Here is a 14,775-nt window from a genome sequence, read left to right as displayed (position 1 = left end):
CTCACTCTGTTGCCCAGGTTGGAATGCAGTGGTGCAATCTTGGCTCACTGCAACCTCTGCCTCTTGGGTTCAAGCGATTCTCCTGCCTCAGCCTCCTGAGTAGCTGGGATTACAGGTACATGCCACTGTGCTGGCTAATTTTTGAATTTTTAGTAGAGATGGGGTTTCACCATGTTGGCCAGGCTGGTCTTGAACTTCTGACCTCCTGTGATCTACCTGCCTCAGCCTCCCAAATGCTGGGATTACAGGCGTGGGCCACCATGCCCAGCCTTTCTGTGACTTAACTTTAAAAACTCTGACCTTTGAGCCAGGTGGGTGCTCATGTCTATAGTCCCAGCTACTCGAGAAGCTGTGGTGGGAGGACTGGTTGAGCCCAAGAGTCCGAGGCTGCAATGAGCTATGATCATACCAGTGCACTCCAACCAGGGTGAAAGAGTGAGACTCCATCTCTTAAAAAAGAAAAGGTAAGGTATTTAAGCCTTCTCTCCTTGGAATTAAACTTGGTGCAAAAGCACACTGGGAAAAAGCAGGCTGGAGCCAAGTCCACTTGCAGCAACATCGTGGAGATGATTCCACAAGGCCCAGCTGCCGAGCTCCCTGGCATCTCCCTAGTGCTTATCCTTCAAATCTGGATATTTATCTCTATCTTCTCTTGCTCTCTTTTCAATAAATCCATTTTTCTTGCTTAAACTCACTAAACTCATTTATTTCACCGCAACCAGAGAATCTGGATGGTTCCCACTTTCTCCCTTTTTCTGCTCCCAGCAACATAAAGGCGGGTGTGGAGTGGATGGCCCCACCAGCCCTGGCTCCCACTAGGAAGGACACTGAACTCACACAAAATACCCTTTGTAGGATTAGCAACCCCAGCACTCCTTAAGCTGGGCTTCAGAATCCACACAAAGAATAAGCAAAGGCATAATTTTGTGGGCAGTTAGAAATCCTATGGAGTGAGTGGAAACAGACATTCCTGCATGGGGCTCCCTCCTCGTCCCTCCCAGTCACACACACACTCTAACCACGGTGCCTTACTGTGGCAGATAAGAACAAAAGCCCCTTTCAAGACATGTGGTGCCTATGTGCAGAAGGTCTGAGATCTCCATCTGGGCTGGGAGAACTGTGCCAGGTGCCAAGAGCCTTGCCGTGGCTTGCTTGTCTCGGTCCTCAGAAATGCACTGAGAATGGAGGAAGCGGTCAAGGAAGGGTCTTCCAAGTCCTTTGGATTTTCTCCTTAACATCTGGTATCTCCCAGGTCTGAGGCTGGAAGGATTTGTGATATTTTTCCCATTCTGTGGGTTGATTTTTCACTTTCTTGATAGCATACTTTGAAGCACAAGAGCTTTTCATTTTGATGAAGTCTGATTTTTTTTCCTTGTTTGCTTATTCTCTAGGTGTATCTAAGAAGTCATTGCCTAATCCAAGATTAAGAAAACTTACACCTGTGTTTTCTTCTAAAAGCATTAGAGCTTTAGCTCGTACATTTAGGTCTTTGATTCATTTTTAGTTAATTTTTCTATATGGTATGAGGTAGAGGCCCAAATGTATCCTGCATATGGCTATCCAGTGGTCCCAGCAGCATTTTTTGTAAAGATTACTCTTTCCCCTGCTGAATGGTCCATACATGTCTGGGCTCTCAATTCTATTCTATTAATCTATATGCCTATCCTCATGCCATACATTGATTGACTTTTGGATGTTAAACCAACCTTGAATTCCTGGGATAAACCTTGGTTACCATGTTTTATTGTTTTTATACATTCTTGAACTCAATTGCTAAAATTTTTAAAAGAATTTTTGCATCTATGCTCATGATAAATATTGGTGTGTAATTTTCTTATTTCTATTTTTATTTATTTTATTTTATTTTATTTTATTTTATTTTATTTTATTTTATTTTATTTTATTTTATTTTTTGAGATGGAGTCTTGCTCTGTCGCCCAGGCTGGAGTGCAGTGGCACGATCTCAGCTCACTGCAAGCTCTGCCTCCCGGGTTCAGGCCATTCTCCTGCCTCAGCCTCTGGAGTAGCTGGGACTACAGGCATCTGCCACCACGCCCGACTAATTTTTTGTATTTTTAGTAGAGACGGGGTTTCACCGTGTTAGCCAGGATGGTCTCGATTTCCTGACCTCGTGATCCACCCGCCTCAGCCTCCCAAAGTGCTAGGATTACAGGCGTGAGCCACCACACCCGGACTTTATTTATTTTTTGAGACAGGGTTTTGCTCTGTCACCCAAGCTGGAATGCAGTGGTGCGATCACAACTCACTGCAGCCTCAACCTCCCAGGCTCAAGTGATCCTCCCACCTCAGTCTCCCAAGCAGCTGAAACTACAGGAACATGCCACCATGCCAGCTGATTTTTTAAAATGTTAATACAGATGAGGTCTTGCTGTGTTGCTCAGGCTGGTCTCAAATTCCTGGACTCAAGTGATCTTCCTGCCCTGGCCTCCCAAAGTGGTGGGATTACAGGCATGAGTCACGGTGTCCAGCCTATAATTTTCTTTACAAATAATGTCTCTGATTTTGGTATCAGGGTAATACCAGCCTCATGGAATAAATTGAGAAGTGTTCCCACCTCTTCAGTTTTCTGGGAAATTTTGTGGAGAATTGGTATTATTTCTTCCTTAAATGTTTTATGCAATTCCCCAGTAAAACCACCTAGGCCTTGAATTTTCTTTGTGGAACGTTTTATCCAGATATTCGATTTTAAAAATAAATAAAAATAGATATAGAGCTATTTTGATTACATACTCTTCTTGATGCAACTTTGGTAGTTTGTGCGTTTTATGTTTTTGTGATGGGGTACAATGAGTTTCTTGAATCTATGGACTTATTCATCAAATTTGGAAACTTTTCAGCCATTATTTCTTCAAATATTTTTTCTGTTACCTCCTTTTTCTCCTCTTCTACAAGGACTCCAATTACATATATTTAGGGTACCTGTCCCACAGATCACTGATTTTTTTTTTCATTTTTAAGTTCCTTTTTCTTTCTGTTTTTCATTTTGGATAGTTTCTCCTGCTGTGTCTTTAAGTTTACTAATATTTTCTTCTGTATCATCTAATCTGCTGTTAATCCCACCCAGTGTTGTTTAATTCCAGATATTGCTTTCATCTCTAGATGTTCAATTTTGAACTGTTTGATATCTTCCATGTTCCTACATAAGTTTTTGAACATATGGAATACAGTACAATCACTGAATAACTGTCCTTTTTTTTTTTTTTTTTTTTTGAGATGGTGTCTCACTCTCTCGCCAGGCTGGAGTGCAGTAGTGCGATCTTAGCTCACTGCAACCTCTGCCTCCCAGGTTCAAGAGATTCTCCTGCTTCAGCCTCCTGAGTACGGGGACTACAGGCGCGTGCCACCATGCCTGGCTAATTTTTGTATTATTAGGAGAGACAGGGTTTCACCATATTGGCCGAGCTGGTCTCGAACTCCTGACCTCATGATCTGCCCACTCCGGCCTCCCAAAGTGCTGGGATTACAGGTGTGAGCCACTGTGCCTGGCCAATAACTGTCCTTTAAAAAATTATTTTCAACTTTTATTTTGGGTTCAAGGGTACATGTGCAGGTTTGTTACATGGGTAAACTCGTGTCATAGGGACTTGTTGTACAAATTACTTCATCACCCAAGTACTAAGCCAGGTACCCAACAGTTATTTTTTCTGATCCTCTCCCTCCTCCCACCTGCTACCCCCAAGTAGGCCCCAGTATCTGTTATTCCCCTCTTTGTGTCCATATGTTCTTTTCTTTTCTTTTCTTTTTTTTTGAGATGGAATCCCACTCTGTTCAAGGCTGGAGTGCAGTGGCATGATCTCAGCTCACTGCAGTCTCTGCCTCCCTGGTTCAAGTGGTTCTCCTGCCTAAGCCTCCCGAGTAGCTGGGATTACAGCTGCATGCCACCACACCCGGCTAATTTTTGTATTTTTAGTAGAGACAGGGTATCACCATGTTGGCCAGGCTGGTCTTGAACTCCTGACCTCATGATCCGCCTGCCTTGGCCTCCCAAAGTGCTGGGATTACAGGCATGAGCCACTGCACCCGGCCCCATGTGTTCTTATCCACAGCAACTGTCTTCACGCCTCTGTCTGCACTATTCTCCACTCTGTGCAGATGCTGAGTTGCCTCTGACCCTATCCTACTTGGAGTCGTTTCCTCCCATGCACGTGCTGACGGACACTCAGCTGATGTGGAGGGGGAACCTGTGTAGCGCTCCAGGGCTCTCCCTTCTCTAGTCCTCTGTCCTGCTCACTCCAGTCCCTTAGTTCTCCCTAGACACTCAGCTGTTTCCTCAACCAAGGAAGTCCACTGGGCTCCGTCTGGGATCCCCGTTCCTGCTCTGTGGTCTGGACATTCTCTCAAGGCAGTAAACCGGGCCAGTCATCGGCTCGCCTCATTTTTTCCCGTCTCTTGGGGATTGCTGTCCTTCACCACCTGGTGTACAGTGTCTTGAAAACAATTGCTTCATATATTTTGTGTTTGTTTAGGGTTGTTTCAGAGAGGAGGCAGGAGGGTAAATGGGTCCTTGTTACTCCCTCTTGGCCAGAAGCAGAAGTCAAAGTGAGTGAATTTTGAAAGCTGTTTTAAAACTGCATTCCCTCTATCTCATTAGCCTCTGACATTTCTCTGAAGTTGCCAGGAAGAGGCTGTATGGGGGATAAAGTGAAAATTTGGGGGGATGGGATGTTTACCAGCTGGCTTTCTCCAGAACCGCCCTGTCCTTATAACATAGCCCTGGTGAGAGACCCAGGAAGGGCCCAGACGTTCCAGTCCCAGGTGTTGGGGGACCACAGAAACCTATGCGCATCCCAATTCCGGACCTCCCTCTGTGCCTAGGGCCAGGCTCCAAGCAGCAACTCTCTAACTCAGCTGGGCCTGACTCTGGACTCCAGGGCTAGAGGCAGTGACCAACAGAGACCAGGACAAAGACTTCCTAGCAGGAGCAGACGATCTGGTCTCTTGACGCTGCCTCCTTTGAAATGCGGAACCTGACTGGAATAGACATTGACCCCTTGGAGCCAGATGGAGAGAACGCTGTTCTGAATGTGAGGGAGTGGGAGGTGTGGGGGAGATCTGAGCCCTTGAGCGCATGGCCTGGCTCAGGGACACCAGGGCTCTCTGGACATCTAGCGCTGCTCCCATCCTTCTCTGGACTCCAGCAACACTGACAATCTAGACACATGTACATACTGGGTTCTAAGGGTATATGGCCATATGTTATTCTCCAAACATTAAATACTTTTAATTCTCTGATATTGTTCTGCAAACATTAATCACAGTAGTAATAATAGAGGTGCTTCATAGAGCTTTTTCTTTTTAATGGCACAAAATAAGTTTTATGTGTGTACGTGGTAAAACACACATAACATAAAATTTACCATCATAACCATTTTAAATTGTGCAATCCAGTGGCATTAAGCATATTTACAATGTTATGCAACCATCACCACTGTCTGGTTATAGAACATTTCATCACCCCAAACCGAAACCTGGTGCCCAGGAAGGAGTGACTCCCTATTCCCCTCCTCCAAGCTCTGGGCAGCCACTGATCTGCTCCCCTCTGTAGGGATTGGTCCATTCTGGAGATTTCACATCAGTGGAGTCATACATTGGTCTTTTGTGTCTGGCTTCTTTCACTTAGCATGTTTTCTAGGCTCAACCATGTTGTAGAATGCATCAGTGCTTCCTTTTGGAGCTAATACTCTTCCATTGTATGAACATAGCACGTTTTGTTGATCTGTTTATCTGTTCATGGAAACTTGGGTTGTTTCCACCTTTTGGCTATTGTGGATGGAGCTGCTATGAACATTAAGTCCAAATTTCTGTTTGAACACCTGTTTTCAATTCTCTGAGGTATGTACCTAGGAGTAGAATTACTAGATCATATGGTAATTCTGTGTTTAACCTTACTGAGGAACCTCCACACTCTTTTCCAAAGTGGCAGTACCATCTTACATTCCCACCAACATTGCATGAGTGTTACAATTTCTCCACATCCTCACCAGCCCTTGTGATTTTCCATTTTAAAAATGATGGCCCAGACTAGTGGATATGAAGTGATATCTCACTGTATGTATGGTTTTTTAAAAACAGCTTTGGCTGGGCCGGTGGCTCACGCCTGTAATCCCAGCACTTTGGGAGGCTGAGGCGGGCGGATCATGAGGTCAGGAGTTTGAGACCAGCCTGACCAACATGGTGAAACTCCATCTCTACTAAAAATACAAAAATTAACTGGCCATGGTGGCGTGTGCCTGTAATTCCAGCTACTCAGGAGGCTGAGGCAGGAGAATCGCTTGAACTCAGGAGGTGGAGGTTGCAGTGAGCCGAGATCGCGCCACTGCACTCCAGCCTGGACAACAGAGTGAGACTCCATCTAAATAAAAAACAAAAACAAAAACAAAAAAACCCCCAGCTTTATGGAGAAATAGTTCACATACTGTATAGCTGATCCATGTAAAGTGTACAATTCAATGGTTTTTTAATATATTCACAGATATATTAAAATAAGCAACCAGTACCACAGTCCATTTTAGAACATTTTCATCACCCCAAAAAGGAACCGTGTATACTATACCCATCACTTCTCCACTCCCCAGACCTCTTCCCCAAGCCCTAGGCAACCACTAACCAACTATCTCTGTAGACTCCCTTGTTCTGGACCGTGCAGATGAATGGAATCAGGTAATATGTGGTCTTTGGTGACTGACTTCTCTCACTTAATCTGTTTTCAAGGTCCCTGCACGTGGTACCGTTTATCAGCACCTCACTCTTTGTCATGGCGGAACAGTATTCCATTATATGCATATGCCACATTTAGTTAATCTACTCATGGGCTGATGAACCGTGGGGCTGTTTCTTCCCTTGTCTATTAGGAATAATGCTCATTTCTCTTGGGTATATATGGAATTGCTGGGTCACATTATAACTCTATGTTTAATCATTCGAGGGACTGCCAGACGGTCACATAGCAGCTGCACCATCTTACATTCTCACCAGCAGTGTGTGAGGGTTGATTTTTCCACATCCTCACCCACACTTATTTTATTTTTCCCATCCTATGATTACCCATCGTAGTGGGTGTTAAGTGGCATCTCACTGTACTTTTGATTTGCATTTCCTTTATGACTAATGACAGTGAGCATCTTTTCTTTTCTTTCTTTTTTGAGACGGAGTTTCACTCTTGTTGCCTAGGCTGGAGTGCAATGGCACGATCTTAGCTCACTGCAACCTCTGCCTCACAGGTTCAAGCAATTCTCCAGCCTCAGCCTCCTGAGTAGCTGGATTACAGGCGCCTGCCACCACACCTGGCTAATTTTTTCTATTTTTAGTAGAAACGGGGTTTCACCATGTTGGCCAGGCTGGTCTCAAACTCCTGACCTCAGGTGATCCGCCCACCTCCGCCTCCCACAGTGCTGGGATTACAGGCGTGAGCCACCGCGCCCGGCCAACAGTGAGCATCTCTTCACATGCTCATTCGTCACGAGCACATCTTTGGGGAAACGTCAAGTCCTTTTTCCATTTTAAAACTGGGTGGCGGTCTTTCATTGTTGAATTGTAGGAGTTTTTTAATATGTTCTGGATTGTAGACCTTTGTCAGATACGTGATTTTCTCCCATCATATGGGTTGTCTTTTCATTCTCTTGACAGTGTCTTTTGATGCACACGTTTTGAATTTTAATGAAGTCCAATTTATTTTCCATAGAGCCTCTTGTATGGTTTTAAAACTTATAGTGCTTATAAGATAGTACAAATATAGATACAAAGAATAATCTAATGAAACCACATGTACCCACTACTAAGATTTCACATAATCATTTGACTTCAGACTTTCAGTGACTGAGTTTTTAGGTGTGGGCAGGTATTTCTGCAACTGGGTTTTGCAGGTTCTCTGCGAGGTTCATCTTTGGCTCCCTAATATTTAAGTCGACACTCCTTCTGCTCCCAGAAGAGACTCCCTCCTCCTCTTGTTCTTCGGGCCTCTCACTCTGTCTGTTGCCTGCTGTCTCCGGTATCACCAACTTCTCTCTCCAAGTTCTTTCTTAGCAATATTTAAAGCTGATCTCTGTCTTTAAAAAGTTGAGTTCTTCCACACTGTGCCCTCCTCTGGCTGCCTTCCTGCAACCAGCATCTATGTCATTAGTGGTACAGATGCTCCTTGAGTGATTAACGATGTCATGTTCTGATAAACCCATTGCAAGTTGAGAATATTCTAAGTCAAAAATGCATTTAATATGCCTAACTTGTGGAACATCATTGCTTAGCCCAGCTTTCCCTTAAATGTGCTCAGAGCACTGGCATCAGCCTTACATTTGGGCAGAATCATCTTACACAAAGCCTATTTTAAAGTAAAGTGTTGAATATCTCATGTAATTTATTGAATACTGCACCAAAAGTGAAAAACTGATTGTATTGGCACTTGAAGTACAATTTCTACTGAATGTCATCACTTTCATACCATCATAAAGTTGAACAATGCTAAGTTGGGACTATCTGTACAATTACCCTCAAATATATCTTCGATCATACACTCTCACCCCCGGGGTGAAAAACCTTCAGGGCTTCCCGTTTTCTCTCGACTGCCTTGGGCCTGGGGTAGCAAGGTCTTCTCCCGGGAGCACCGTGCTTGTGAGAGTCTGCAGGTGGCTGCAGGACTGGGAAGGCTTCCGTCCTGTTGAAAAATACTAGCACTTAGCACAGTACCTGACACACAGTAAGTACCCAAACTATGAAGATGATGACCACAGGCACCCTCACCACCAGCATTGCAGGTTGTGCCAGAAGGGAAAAAGCAATTCTGACAAAGCTCTGGCTATGACGTTCCCTGTGGGCGCCCCTCAAGGTGCCTCCCTCTGTCACCACCTACACACACACACACACACACAACTCAGGAATATCCAGCTTTCACCATGCTTCTCAGAGAGGCCCCAGAGGGTCACTCTTTCCAGCAGGGTAAATTGTGGCAGTCCCTGTGGCACGGGGAATGAGCACTCCCTGGCACAAAATGCACCCGCCCCCCAACCCTTCACTTGTTAAACACTGCCCATTTCTTGCTTCTTAAAGCTTAACCATTTCCTCCTACACCCTACCAGGTTCCCTTCCCAAGGTGCCTTCCATTTATAAAGTGATTAGGTCCAGGAGGGCCTGGGCACCACGGGACTCCAGGCCCTCTTGGAGGCTCCAGAAGAGTTAAAGGTGTGAAAGGGGAAGGGAGCCCAGGTTCTGCTGGGGACCCAGCCTGACTCCTGGGTCTCTATAGCTTTGCTATCTTAAGGTGGAGGTTGGGGGAGACCCCAGTTTCAGGGGAATTAGGGGAGACCTCAGTTCCAGGGGAATTCGGTGCTGTTTTCCAATCTACCCAGCTTCTTGTACTCCTGTTAGATCTGGGGGCAATTTCCCAGAGGAGAGTCTGTAATCTACGACCTGCAAGAGAAAAGGGAAGACAGGCTGGCTGAGGACATCTGCACCCACAGCTCTACAGTCCAGACTCAACCCCCAGAGATGGCTGGCTCATCCCCACCAGGGGGCCACTTTGTGCCAAACCGGAGAAGGAGGGGTGGGGGAGGTGGAGAAGCCAAGAACAAAAAATCTATCAACCTGGAAAGAGGAAGTAGGTAAGGTCAGCGGTGTGTGGACTGCAGGCTCCCAAGATGATGGCGCTGGCGCTTCTGAACGCTCTGCCTGCTGGGAGCTGAGCATGGGGCTGATGGCTTGTGTTGGCTGCAGAGGAGAGGAACCAGAGTGCATGGGTGCCACCTTGCTCAGGAATCCTGGGTGACCTCCTTGAAAGTTAAGCTTTTCTCCTGGTGGTTCTTTCCTCTGGCCCACGACCAGGCAAGCTCGCCCAACCTACGATCTGTCCCCAGCTCCCAAACTGCTTTCAAACCCCTCCCCTCTTAGTTTCCAAAAGAGTCGATGCCTGGTTCTCCTTGGCCCCTCTGCCCAGAAAGTTTGGGTTTCCTCTGGCACTTCTCCGGATAAACCCTCCCAGCCTCCATGGTCCTCACATTCACCTTCCCCAAGGGCTGCAGCCGCAGGGCCTGCCCAAGATCCCCACTATACCGAGTCTGTCCTCACCTGGAGGCCACACCGCAGTTTCACACCTGGATGTGCAATGGGCCCCCTGAGGTTCACCGGTTCCTAAGAGGAACTGGTGATCAGCCTGTAGGGGACAAAACAGTCTACCCAGCCTCTCAGCACAAGACAGGCTCCCCGGCCTCTCCCGCCTCGCAGGCATCCAAATGCTGAAGCCTCCACCTCCTGAAAACGTCTCTCCTTTCGGCCTCCCTCTCTCCGGCTGGATGACCCCAAATCTCGTCCTAACGCTCCTCCACTGCCCCTCTCTCCACCACCTGCTAAGGAAGGGCCACGCTCCTTAAGCTGAGGCGCCAGCTGCTTTACAAGTTTTGAGGGAAAAGAACGGATTTCTCTGGTTAGGCCACTCTGGGTATAAACGACCCAACGGCCTGGGACACCCCACGATGGGGTTTTCTTTTGGAGTCTGGATAGAGCAGAGCGTGCAGTACTGGTCGTCCCATTGCGGGCTAGCTCGCCAAAGACGCCCCTTCCTTGCCCTTCTCCCTAGGCTCCTGAGAGAGCCCTGGAGCGTTCTGGAAATCCTGCTACCTTTAGGACCTGGGGGATCCGAGTAGGGGGGTCACCTTCCCCGTCCCCAGCGAAGTCGGCGCCGGAACTGCCCTAATGGAAACCAGCCGCCGGGCGCTCCGGGAGGGCTCAGGCCGACCCCGGGGTCCATTAGAGGCGCCCCAGGCCGAGGGAGCCCGCGGCGGCTGGAAGGTGAACTTGACATCCCGGCTCCACCGACCCCGCAGCGGCTCGCACCTCATCCCCACTCCGGCCAGACCAAAGTAGAATCCTGGGTGTGCGCGTGATTTCCCAGGGAGGGCGGACTCGGGGCTTTCCCTGTCGCACCCTCCATTGGGGGACCGCCCCCAAGTCCCCGAGAGCCCCTCGGGCAGAGTCCTTAGGGCTCAGAGCATGGGAGGACCTGGCTTGCCTGGTGGAGGCGAGTAGCCGAGGGGTCGGTGGAGCTGCGCCCCAAATGAGTTCCCGGCGCGCGATTCTCCCCGACCCCGACCCTTTGTCCGCCTCCCCCTCCCTCGTCCCGGCCCTTGGCTCAGGGGACCCAGGCGGCGGCGGCGGAGGTGGCAGAGGCCAGAGCCCAGAGGCGCAGCCCGGGCAGCTAGGAGGGTCGCACGTGGAGCCGTCCCCCGGACCCGCACAGCGACGAAGGGGGGAGGCTGCAGGCGCGCGGGGTGGGGGCTGGGGCGCAGCCCGAGAAGTGGGAGGGGATCGGGTGAGGGGTGGTCTCTGAGGAGGAGCCAGGCTGGACCGTATTGTTCCGCGCTCGGCCGGGGAGGGCGCGGGGCGCTCGGCTTCCCGTGTTCCTCTCCCCGCCCCAGCCCCGTGGGCGCGAGAGGAGGCGGGGGGCTCCTTGTGCACCAGAGACGCAGCTGCCTTGTTCGCCCGGTGGGGTGTGGATCCTCCGAGCGGTGCTGGGAAGGGGGTTCTCTCTGCCCGCGCGCCCAGGACTCTACCCAGGGCGGAGGTCCCGAGTGGGCCGCCCCCCGCAGCGCCCTGGGTTCGCGGGCCCAGAGGCTGGAGGCAGCGGGGAGCTAGGGTCCTTCACCCTCCCCTCGCCGCGTGCCTCCGCAGGAGTCGGGCTCCCCGTTCCCCGCGATGGCCGCGGGCCGCAGTCGTACGGAGCCGCCGCGCGGACCCCGGGGCGCCCCTCCCTAGCGGGGCGCAGCTCCTTCTTGTTCCCCGCCCTGCCAGCGGGATGGGGGGCGGCGGGTCGGCCCTGAGGGTCTGCGCCGACCACCGCGGGGGCATCAACTGGCTGAGCCTGAGCCCCGACGGGCAGCGCCTGCTGACGGGCAGCGAGGACGGCACGGCCCGGCTCTGGAGCACCGCGGACGGCCAGTGCTGCGCGCTCCTGCAAGGTAGACCCTCCCACTCCCTCCCTGACCTCTTCGCCGCAGCTCACCGGCCCCAGACCGCGGACCCCAGCTCCTGCGCCCGCAGACCCCTTTCTAGAAGTCCAGCCCCCGCTCATCCCGGCACACTAGCGGAAGAGCGCTTGTCTGGGCCCAGCATCTGGCTGTTGAGCGCACGGCAGGGCAGGGTGAGGTCTGGGGGTGGGGTGCGGGTGCAGAGCAGGGTGCGGCCGGGATCGGGTGGGTGGGTCGAGGGGCGTCCGCTACAAAGGCGAAGATCATTTGTCAACCAGCGGCAGGAAATCTCCCTTGACAACAATGTTAACAAACAAAAAGTTGCACCTATACTCCTTCTAAGCAAACCTTCCCTTGTCTCTAGGTGCCTTGTGGCCTCTTTGTGGCCAATTGTGCTCTTCTGCTGGCATTTCCTGTTGACGACTCTCACAGCAACAGTAGACGCTTGTTAAGGGCCAGCGGTGCGGAGAAGTGTGCCGTCGTCACACTATGTTACCCCACATACAGACGTGGAAACAGGCTGGGAGTTAAGTAATTCGCCCAGGTCGCACAGCCAGTGAGGGGTAGATGGCAGTCTGAGCCCTCTCATTGCTGTAAACCCTGCCTGCATGCCTGTTGGTTTCTATTTGTGCCCTGTACTCACTCAGGAGGTCAGTGTGCCTCGGGTGCACCTTCCCCTGGGCCTGTCCCATGCACTGTGAGGTCCCTTTCAGCTCTGGCCCTCCTACTGCCCAGGTAGCACACGTAGTCCCCTGGATGAGCCGCGAGGCTTTCTGCTGTGGGTAGTTCTTTATCACCGCGGGCTTTTCCACCATCATCAGTGAACTCTCTGTGGCCTCGCCCAGGCCTTCCAACTTAGGTAGGATATTAGCCCCAATATTGGCTAATCCTGATACTGCTGGTTTTAAATAAGAACAGTTGACCAGGCTCGGTGGCTCACACTTGTAATCCCAACACTTTGGGAGGCCAAGGTGGGTGGATCACCAGAGGTCAGGAGTTTGAGACCAGCCTGGCCAACATGATGAAACCCTGTGTCTAATAAAAATACAAAAAATTAGCTGGGCGTGGTGGCGGGCGCCTGTAATTCCAACTACTCGGGAGGCTGAGGCAGGAGAATCACTTGAACCCAGGAGGCAGAGGTTGCAGTGAGCCAAGATCGTGCCACTGCACTCCAGCCTGGGTGACAGAGCCAGACTCTGTCTAAAAAAAAAAAAAAAAGAAAAGAAAAGAAAAAAATATTACATAGTTAGGGCAGATATTTCAAACCCAACAGGGATGACTTTTGGATTACCGGTTACTTGGGAGTTGGTGTGGATAATGGAGAGGTGGCCACAAACTAACACACATCCCCCCCAAACAGCCACACACACTTATAGGCATTCAACCAGGAATGGAAAATATGAGGTCTTTTAGAAATGTTAAGTCCAGTTGGTATTGCTCCCAAACATAAGACTGTCTTGGGGGTAGAGGGGTGGGTGGTGTTTCAGAAATGCAGATCCCCAGGCCTGGGCTCCAGTGATGCAGTCCTCCATGAATAGGGCTGTAGAACTGGCATTTCTTCTTGTTGTTGTTTTTTGAGATGGAGTTTCGCTCTTGTTGCCCAGGCTGGAGTGCAGTGGCACGATCTTGGCTCACTGCAACCTCCGCCTCCCGGGTTCAAGCGATTCTCCTGCCTTGGCCTCCTGAATAGCTGGGATTACAGGTGCTCGCCACCACGCCCAGCTAATTTTTTTGTATTTTTATTAGACGTGGGGCTTCATCATGTTGGCCAGGCTGGTCTTGAACTCCCGACCTCAGGTGATCCACCCGCCTTGGCCTCCCGAAGTGCTGAGATTACAAGTGTGAGCCACTGCACCCGGCCTAGAATTGGCATTTCTAACAAGCTTTTGGGTGGGTCTTATGCACAGCTGGCCCCGGGAGCCCCTGGGCTGGGGACGGGTTGTGGGAGCCCAGCTTAGCCCACAATTAGGTGGGGTTTCTCCCCAGTGAGGCCCCAGGCTTTGCCAGGCTGCCGGTAGCCTGGTGGGCACTTGGCTTTGCCCCCACGGCAGCTCTGGAGCCTCACCAAGCCTCCAGGGCCCACCCTCCTGCCCAGCTCTGTGTCTGGCACCTGTGCCTCCTTCCTTCACACCCACTTTGGTGACCCTCACGGCTGCTTGTCCCCTTGAGGTACTGACACTCACTTCCCAGGGAGGGTGCCCAACCTTCTGCCCTAATTGAGGGCAGGGCTATCCCCGCTCAAGCAGGACACTGGAATGAAAGAACTGTGGCCCATTTTGCTAGGATTGTTTTTGCTGTTATATGGGTTGGTATTTTCAGGAATTTTCAAGGACGGGGACAGAGGTCATCTTTCTTTATCCTGAGATTCTACTGATACGCTCAACTTGCAAAAGAGTCATTGTGAGTGTGTGACAGTCCTTTTGTGTGGATCCCCAAAGAAAGCAAGGTGTTGCCAGTTCCTTTCTCCTGCAGGATTTTTTTTTTCTATCAGTGAAATATTATTAAAATGTCTTAACATTTGTTTAGTGCCCTATATTTTATAAATAACACATCTTTGTGCTTTTTTATTGTGTAATGAATCCTCACAACTCTGAGGTGGGTGGGATTGACACCAGTTCACAGAGGAGAGTGGGGAGGTGCAGACTCATGAGCAGCATACACGGCATTCTTGTTGTTTTCTAGATACCATCGATAATGGGGTGGGTGCTGTCGCCAACATCCCTCGAGGCGTGGTGCGGTGGCAGGACTTGTCCAGGGTCCCGCAGCTGGTCCATGGCAGAGAGGGTTTCTGAAGACTGTACGGTGC

The 14,775-nt window shown here is 50.2% G+C and overlaps 1 protein-coding gene and 1 long non-coding RNA gene across 21 annotated transcripts in view, besides 1 other annotated feature; one reads left to right on the top strand and one right to left on the bottom strand.

Annotated features, from left to right (window-relative positions):
- Positions 1 to 8,032: 8,032 nt before the first annotated feature.
- WDR86-AS1 (WDR86 antisense RNA 1) lies at positions 8,033 to 12,226 on the bottom strand. 3 transcript variants are annotated; one of them, NR_109857.1, is made up of 6 exons: positions 12,005 to 12,226; positions 10,075 to 10,159; positions 9,595 to 9,717; positions 9,317 to 9,420; positions 8,535 to 8,668; positions 8,033 to 8,115 (listed from the first exon to the last, which is right to left on the bottom strand). It is a non-coding gene; the product is annotated as a WDR86 antisense RNA 1 (long non-coding RNA). The 3 variants fall into 3 exon arrangements; NR_034012.2 differs by lacking the exon at positions 8,033 to 8,115 and having other exon boundaries at positions 8,339 to 8,668; NR_034013.2 differs by lacking the exons at positions 8,033 to 8,115; positions 10,075 to 10,159 and having other exon boundaries at positions 8,339 to 8,668.
- Positions 10,151 to 10,783: an enhancer, noted in NCBI's record as "H3K4me1 hESC enhancer chr7:151107690-151108322 (GRCh37/hg19 assembly coordinates)". NCBI's record gives its function as "activates a minimal SCP1, AML or CMV promoter by ChIP-STARR-seq in primed H9 embryonic stem cells {active_cell/tissue: H9 hESC(primed)}" and the evidence as "EXISTENCE:reporter gene assay evidence [ECO:0000049][PMID:30033119]".
- WDR86 (WD repeat domain 86) overlaps positions 10,675 to 14,775 on the top strand; it is a 41,758-nt gene continuing 37,657 nt past the window's right edge. For 12 of the 18 annotated variants that reach the window (XM_011516151.4, XM_011516147.4, XM_011516145.4 and 9 more), the window contains exon 1: positions 11,349 to 11,960. In XM_011516151.4, coding sequence (XP_011514453.1) covers positions 11,798 to 11,960 — 163 coding nt within the window. In that variant the 5' untranslated portion in view covers positions 11,349 to 11,797. Of the gene's footprint in view, positions 10,795 to 11,348; positions 11,961 to 12,444; positions 12,497 to 14,775 lie in introns of those variants that run through there. The other 6 variants (XM_047420328.1, XM_047420327.1, NM_001284261.2 and 3 more) reach the window with 2 other exon arrangements.

The sequence above is a fragment of the Homo sapiens genome, chromosome 7 (assembly GCF_000001405.40).
Source record: "Homo sapiens chromosome 7, GRCh38.p14 Primary Assembly".
Classification (NCBI taxonomy): Eukaryota; Metazoa; Chordata; class Mammalia; order Primates; family Hominidae; genus Homo; species Homo sapiens.
The sequence above is the reverse complement of the archived record's forward strand: the minus strand, read 5'-3'. Positions and strand labels throughout refer to the sequence as shown.